This window comes from Homo sapiens, chromosome 14 (genome assembly GCF_000001405.40).
Source record: "Homo sapiens chromosome 14, GRCh38.p14 Primary Assembly".
Lineage (NCBI taxonomy): Eukaryota > Metazoa > Chordata > Mammalia > Primates > Hominidae > Homo > Homo sapiens.
In genome coordinates, this window is record NC_000014.9 from 65,746,526 (window position 1) to 65,754,471 (window position 7,946).

Below are 7,946 nucleotides of genomic sequence, written 5' to 3' on the forward strand. Positions count from 1 at the left end.
ATGGAATTTTTAAAGTGTGCTGCTCAGAAAGGAGCACAAAAAATTTGCCTCTATACTTACTGGTTCCTAGCACCAGTCTCTCTCATGGACACATGGAAGAGCTGTTCCAGGATCACAGGCCTTGGAAAGTTTGGGCTTTGAGTTCCTGGCTAGTCTTACCTCCCTATTAATTTGCATAAGAATTTCTGGCCCAGTAAGGAGATAGAACATAGTGAGTGCAGGGACAGAAGACCTAGTTTTCAGTTTTGTTTTTCCTCCTCATAGTGCCTACAAGCACGTAATATCCCTGTATTTCGGGTTCTTTAGGGAAAAAGCAACAGTTCTCATTGAAGATCACTGACTGAAATTCAGAATATCTGGCTTCTGATTTTGATATTGTCATTAAATGGGGACAGGCCAAACGGTTTTCTCAGAACTTTGTTTTCTTCATAAGTGAAATGAATTGGTTGGATTTATTCAGGGTTTGCAAATTTGGTTGACTGGTTCAGTTTCACATGTCTCAAGGAAGTAGCTTCTACTCAGCCTCAGCTGATTGTTGTTCTAAGGACATAATGTGGACAGATATTTCTGTTTTTCCAGACAAGCAAAATGTGGATCTTTCTGTGCAAGATCTTCAGATTTTGAAGTATCAGCAACTAATTAAAAAATATGTAAAACACTAAGGAGTCCAAATAAATATCTGTGGCTCCTTTGGGCCCATGGCCCATTAGTTTATAACCTCTGGACTAGATTGGGAAAGCTCTTTTCTAACTTCAAGATTATATCTCTAGCTAAAAGTAGATCTACCATTCGATCCAGCAATCCCACTACTGGGTATCTGCCCAAAGGAAAAGAAGTCATTATATGAAAAACACACTTGTACACGTACGTTTATAGCAGTTCACAATTGCAAAGATGTGGAACCAACTTAAGTGCCCATCGACTAATGAGTGGATAAAGAAATTGTGGTATGTATACACCATGGAATATTACTTAGCCATTAAAAAGAACAAAATAATGTCTTTTGCAGCAACTTGGATGGAGCTGGAGGCCATTATTCTAAGTGAAGTAACACAGGAGTGGAAAACCAAAAACGATATAGTCTCACTTAATAGTGGGAGCTAAGTTATTCCCCTACATTGAAAGTTATTCCCCTACGGGGAATAACTTTCATCTCCTGATTCTTCAAGTTGTCGATTAGTATGGAAGGGCATACAGAGTGATATAATGGACTTTAGAGACTCAGAAAGAGGAGGGTGGGAGGGGAGTTGGGATAAAAAACTGCATATTAGGTACAATGTACACTACTTTGGTGATGAATCCACTAAAATCTCAGAATTCACCACTATATAATTCATCCATGTAACAATAAACCACTGGACCCTAAAAGCTATTGAGATAAAAATTAAAGCAAATTGATATGTGCGGTAAATATAAATTATGCATCAGGTTGGTTAGTATAAAAGTATAAAGAAAAAATGTAAAGTATATTTTGGGTACATTGGGTTAAATAACATTATTAAAATTACCCATTAAAATTTTTTTTAAATAAAACTAAGATTATATCTCTGGAAAGGATTGGTAAGAGAGTAACAGCTGCATAATGCTTTCAAGTTCAGATGCTGCACGTGTCCCAATTCCTCAGAAATACCTGCTTAGCTGGCTGTCATCCTGGGCTCAGAATAGCCCATTCGTAGCATATTCATAGCATATTCATGACAATATGCTATGAAGCTCGTAGGCTGGGCCCCTCAGACTTGGCCTTGAAGACCTCAAGTATGTAACAAGGGTTAGATAACTTCTAAGTTCTCTTCCAGCCCTAAATTTCTAAGAAGGTCATGGTAGAGCCTGAGATTGTAACAAGGTCATATGTGGTACCAGGGTGCACCTGCCTGGGTTAGGAACCTGGGTGGCTGGATCTGGTTGCAAGAGGAACAAGGGTCATTTTGTTAGAGCAGCTGACTATGTCTTTGCCTAGACCTCTGTTAAAATAGAGTAACTTAATTCCTGACTTAATTAACAGGCTGTTCAAACTCACCTGTTTATATTTAGAAACTCCTTTTGTTGTTGTTTTCTTTCCCACCTTTTGTTTCCTGGTAAAGTTTCATTCATAGAATCACAGCTTTGTTTCAGCTAAACTAAGAGAATAGGGATTTGTGGGCATAAAAGCCCAGAGAAATGAGGTGTCAGTGTCTCCTTGGAGGCCAAAGAGTGGAGATGATAACCCACTCTGGCTCAGGTCGGACTTCCCATACCGTTCAGGAAATCAAAAGAAGTGTGAATGAGTACCCACCATGATGAGTCCCATCTAGTCTATTTCATTATTTTTTAAGTGATATTCAAAAACACTGGAATTTGTTCGCAAACATACTGCACAATTGATTGCCACATAGTGGCAGGTCACACCACCAAGAATGAGAACATCTTACAGGTAAAGTTTAAAGAACAAGGGGTTTGAAATCGGCTCTAATTTCAAGTTCTGGCTTCACACCTTTTGAGCATCAACAGGTTCTAACAAGTTATGCTCTTTCCAGAAACTCCTGTTGGTAATTCAGATGACCAGAATTCTCTAAGTCAGTCATTGGGAAGCTGTGCCCACTGCTTGTTTTTGTAAGTTTTATTGAAACATAACCACACCCATTCACTTATATATTGACTGTGGCCACTTTGGGGGCTACAACAGCACACTTGAGTAGTTACCACAAAGCCTAAATGTATGGCCTACAAAGCCTAAAATATTTACTATCTGGCCTTTTGCAAAAGATGTTTAGTGACCCCTGCTATAAGTAGTCCTGTCTTTTAGATTCAAATTGATAATCCAAAAAGGCCCAACGTCACAAAACACTGACAGTCATCAGAGAAAAATTTGATAGTGGTGGTAGTATATTAGGGCCTCTGCTAATCTGTATGGTGCGTTTGTGAAAATTGGATAAAGATGCTCCTAAGACAGTTGTTGTAATCTATTGATTTTTAACAAAATCAATAAAACTTACTGCCATCCACCAGAAAATTGCTCAATAAATATACAAACCATCAACATCTACAATATGAATTGCACTCCCTGTGCAACCACATGTAGGAGTTTCACTACTGTAGTGTGATCTGGTAAAAAGAACACTAATTTTTTTAGACTTAAGTTCTGCTTCCGGCTCTGAAACTGACCTGCTGATACCTTGAGCAAACTACATAATGTGCCTAGGCCTCAGTTTTTCTTACCTTTAAAATGGAGGTAGCTTCTAGTTGTTGTTTTGGGAAATAACAGGCATAAAATTGCTTTGTAAAGTCTATCAGCTCTGCAAAAGAAATCTCCAATCATGTTTTGGAAAATTTCTGTAGTTCTGGAACTATAATAGGTCCTGAAGAGAATGAAATCAGTTTAAGGAGCTTACAGTCTAACTAGAAAGTTGTGCACATATGAACTGCACTAGAAAGTTAGAATCTAACATAAAAAGTTACACACATTTTAACTAATTGGAGCACTAGTCATACTGCTTCGCACTTACTGACCTACTTTGTGTCATACCTACTAAGCAATTAACAGGTGCTATCTCATGTATAATCTTCACACCAACCCTATCAGGTAGATATTATCCCCATCTTACAGATATGGAAAAAATAATAGCTGGCATTTATTCATTTACTATGTTCCAGACACTATTCTAAAGTTATTTACATATTTTAATTCATTTCATCTTCACAATACCCTATGAGATATGTACTATTATTCTCATTTTTCAGATGAGGAAATTTGTTCACAGAATTTAAATAAGTGCTTTCCCAACTTTTTTACATAGAAAATTCTATTTATTTGGCATTCTGGGATAAATGAGGGGATTTGGGAAATAGAGCTCAGTGAAAAATTCAGTACACCTCTATTGATAATTTGAGACGATTTAGTAGAGCATCAGGAAAGGTGTATGTGATGTGGTCACCTCAGGTTGCTCTCTGCCAATGGGTACTAAGTGTAAAGTATACAAAATAACAGTATATTCAAGCCTCAGGGAGTCACACAAATAGTGTTTCAATGTAATCTCAACCAGTGTAATGTTGAAGAGTTATGACAATTGCTTTAAATATTGTATCATTATAAAAAATTTACAACCAACTGCATTTTATGGTACACCTTCAACCTATTTGTTATTGGGAAGCTATGGGTTAAATTACAAGGCAAATTCAGGACTATGTGTCTCTGAAGTCTGTTCTTCCAGCCTGTAAACAGTCTTGCCCTTCTGCAGTGAAAAGCCAAACTGCATGACCCAGACTCCATTTATCCTTACAGTACTGATTCTTTGAAGTTTGATCATCCAGACTCACTTTAAGGGTAACTTTTTTGTTAACCATGGTCTTTAATCTTGTCCCCTTACCCCATTCTCAATCAGTTTTGAATCTAGCATCTCATACTTCTTTCTACTCACTCTCTACCCATATCCACAACAGGAAATAGGTGGGCAGGTGGGCCAAGTGAAAATTCTTTGAATTGATAGCAGACTGCCCCTGGGCTCTGGAGTCGTCTGCTTGGTCACACTCTCCCTGTGGACTTCTGCTTATCTGCATCCACTGGAAGGTGAGCCCTGAAAGAGTGTCTATTCCCAGCTCAGCCAGTTGTGTTTACACAGAGACACTAAATTATAGTAAGTGGCTACTTAAGCTATCATTTTCCCAGCCCCTAAGTGCAGGAGGAAATCCATGTGTGATTCTATGCACCTTCTGTGCTTAACAAGATACATCTCAGAGCAGAAACAGTTTCCCTGTCTGTGCTTCAGAGAACCCACTGTCTCATGCAGGTTAATATTCTGTGGCTGAATTTGACACTGGAATTATTGATGTACATGAGAGCACAGTGTTCTAATATGAAGTCTGGTATTGCTTGTGTTTTACCCAATTATGGCTTGTCTAATTCCAAGCCCACTTGCATCTGAATTTCACTCCAGGCTTCTGCAGGGTAGAGAATGCTGAAGGAAGTAGAAGGAATACACAGATGGTATTTTTTTCATTGCTTTGTCTGGCTAGCTGAATGGCTGGTGTGCCGGTGGTGATATGTGGCAGGACATCTGGGGCAAGGTTAGTGACCCATTAAGGTGTCCTGAGCTCTGATTAGAGAGAACTTGGAGCCAGCAGAGCTGTCAACAATCAGTTTCTTTTTGATTAAGATGCTGCCTCTTAACCCCCTGGAGGCCATTTTACCCACCTTCAGGAAAAGATAGAATTAAAGCCTTAGGTCATCGCTTAGTAGAAGCCCCAGGAGCTGACTAGACCAGAAAGGGCCTCTCAGCCTCTCTCAGCAGCTGTTCCATTATCAGGTTCCTCTACTGACAGGTAAGCTCATCCTCTGTCATACAGAGCTCCTAAGCTAAAATGGCTCTCCCAGGAGCCGCTACTCAAAGAAGAGTGAAGATACTTAAGAAAGCTCATTAGTGAATTAGGGAGGTCAGGAAAAATACGTTTATTTATTAGTATGGCCATTTTGGCTGTTGCAAGGATTGTGTGTGTGTGTGTGTGTGTGTGTGTGTGTGTGTGTGTAAGAAAAGAGTTCTCTTTTGTCGTTGAGATTCAGTCTGATGTATCTCAGTAAGCTTTAGTCTGTGAGCTCCTCAGCTGCATCTCCTTAAAGACAAAAAGCATACCTTATTGTATTCCTAGGGCATGCACAGTGACTGGCACATAGTAAGTGGTTGAGAATGTACTGTGCTGAAATAATTACAGATTTAAAGATGCAGTGTCTCAGATTTGCTTCAAAGTAATAGAGTGGGAGGAGGAATTGAGTGTAAGTATAGATGAAACAAGATGGATTATGAGATGACAACTTTTTAATCTGAGTGATATGTTGTAGGGATTTGTTACTATTTTTTCTAGTTTCGCGTTTGTTCAATGTTTTCCACAATAAAAAGTTTTTTTTATTAATATCTGTATTAAGTATAACAAAATGTTGAAGGATATGGCAAAGACTGGCCTAGTGCTCTCCAAACAGTCTCATCTTTTTGCTAAGCACATAGCTGGGTTGCATTTTGTAGTCAGGCCACGTAATTAAAGTTCTGGCCAATAGAATGTGGACAGAACTGATGTAAGCCTCTTCCAAGTGTGACCATTATTCTGAATGATCCTCTAAGCATTCTCTCTTCACTTGCCTCCGGTCTGGATGTAGGAAATCAGTGAAAAGCTTCAAGCTCCTAGGCAATGAAAGAGCCTAGATGCCTGAATGATTTCATGGAGCAGAACCATCACTCTCTTCTACTGATGAATCTATAATAGACTATAAGGTGACTGAAATAAGCCTTTGTTGTTGTTGTTGTTGTCGTAAGTACAGTATTGAATTGCCCATAATCTTGCAAACCAGGTTTTCAGCCTACATATTTCAGACATGGGAGGAGACTCTCAGTAGTTATTTGACGTTTTAGAGAATCCAGAGCTATAATTAAATACCTCTGAAGATGATGATAATAACAAAACTAGCATCTTTTGAATAGCCACTATATGTCAGGCACTGTTTTAAGTGCTTTCTATGTATTAACTAATTTCACTCTCACAACAACCCTATGAGGGAGAAACTAGTATTGTTCTAATTTTATAGAGGAAGAAACTGGGAGACTAAATAACTTGCCTAAGTCAAACAAATTGTAAGCGGCAAAGTCCAGATTCAGATCCAGGAAGTTTGCCTCCCAAGCTCTGCCTCCACCAGCCCACAATACTTCCTCAGTATTTTGGACTTTGCCATAGGAGTTGAGTCCTGGCATAAAGCAATATCTGAACACATAATGTCACCTACAGAAGCAGTGCTGGACTCCCATTCTAGGGAGGAGTACACAAAACCGGAAAAGGTCCAAAGTCTGCTGTTCCACTGCCCCCGTAAAGGGCATTCTAGTGAGCAGAGTTTAACAATGGTATGATCCGGGATAAAACTTAGTGTCAGTGCTTTGTCCACTCTGACTGATTCTTCTTTTATTCAATTTTCTTCCGCTCAACCTTGTCCTCTCCTGCATTTGCCACAGGGGGGAAATATTTGTCATCTGTTTTACCTGTATCTGCCACTCTTCTACACCCCCTTCCTCACCCACCCTTCATGACCCCCTCTCCCGGATCCCAACCCAGAGCCTATTTCTCTCCTTTTTCAAGCAACTCAGAGCACATATTAGGGCAGAGAGTCATATCAATGCTCATAAAACCTCCAAATGACAACAGTGATTAATTACTCCCTTGCTTTTTGACTTCACTTGCCTGCTGCAGACACTACCTATCTTCAACAGCCAAGAGAGCTGAGGAGGGGCCACCATCAAGCTTTTTGCCAGTGCACTACCTAGGACAGAATTTTTCAAACTGCATTCCATGGAGAGGCTACAAGAAGCATCTGAGAAGATGGGAGAAGATACATAAGCATTGAATGAATGGGGCTCTACATCCCCCAACTCCACTTCTGTCATGGCAGTTCCGCTTTATCTGCTTCACGTTAGATTGCATTTGGAGAATTGTTCCATCCTTGAAAGAGAGAGAGAAATAAACCCCTTATTTTGGAAGATCCTTTGGATCGCCAAACTTTTGGGCCCCTTAATTTCTTGAATCTCTCAGTTTCCACCATTCCTGCCCACCAGGAGCAGAGGTAGGAAAGACCAGCCCAGCAGACACTCCCAACTCCTAACAGCCCACTTTCTAGGTCCCAGAGCCAAGGAGAATTACAGCAAAACAGAACTCATGGATGGAGTAAGGGGCTGTGGGTTGTTGCTTCCCCCACAAGTCCTACAGTTCTGAATCTTACCTGTCCTTGCATAGAGTAGATTTTTAAATGAACATGGTATGACTGGATGGATGATCCAATCTCTATTACTTTAGATCATTCTGGGGGGAGTCGGGGGACGGGACTGGCCTTAGATCTCAGAATGGCCACAATATTCATTCTTCAATATGCAGAGAGGCAATTTGGCATAGACATTAAGAATATGAGATCTAGAATCAGACCCTTGCTTCAAATCCTGGCT

At 39.9% G+C, this 7,946-nt stretch overlaps 1 annotated feature.

Moving 5' to 3' along the window:
• Positions 4,311–4,480: an enhancer, noted in NCBI's record as "experimental_35265 CRE fragment used in MPRA reporter constructs". NCBI's record gives its function as "activates a minimal promoter by MPRAs in K562 erythroleukemia cells, with activity observed for both the introgressed and non-introgressed 14:66217639 variant alleles {active_cell/tissue: K562}" and the evidence as "EXISTENCE:reporter gene assay evidence [ECO:0000049][PMID:34662402]".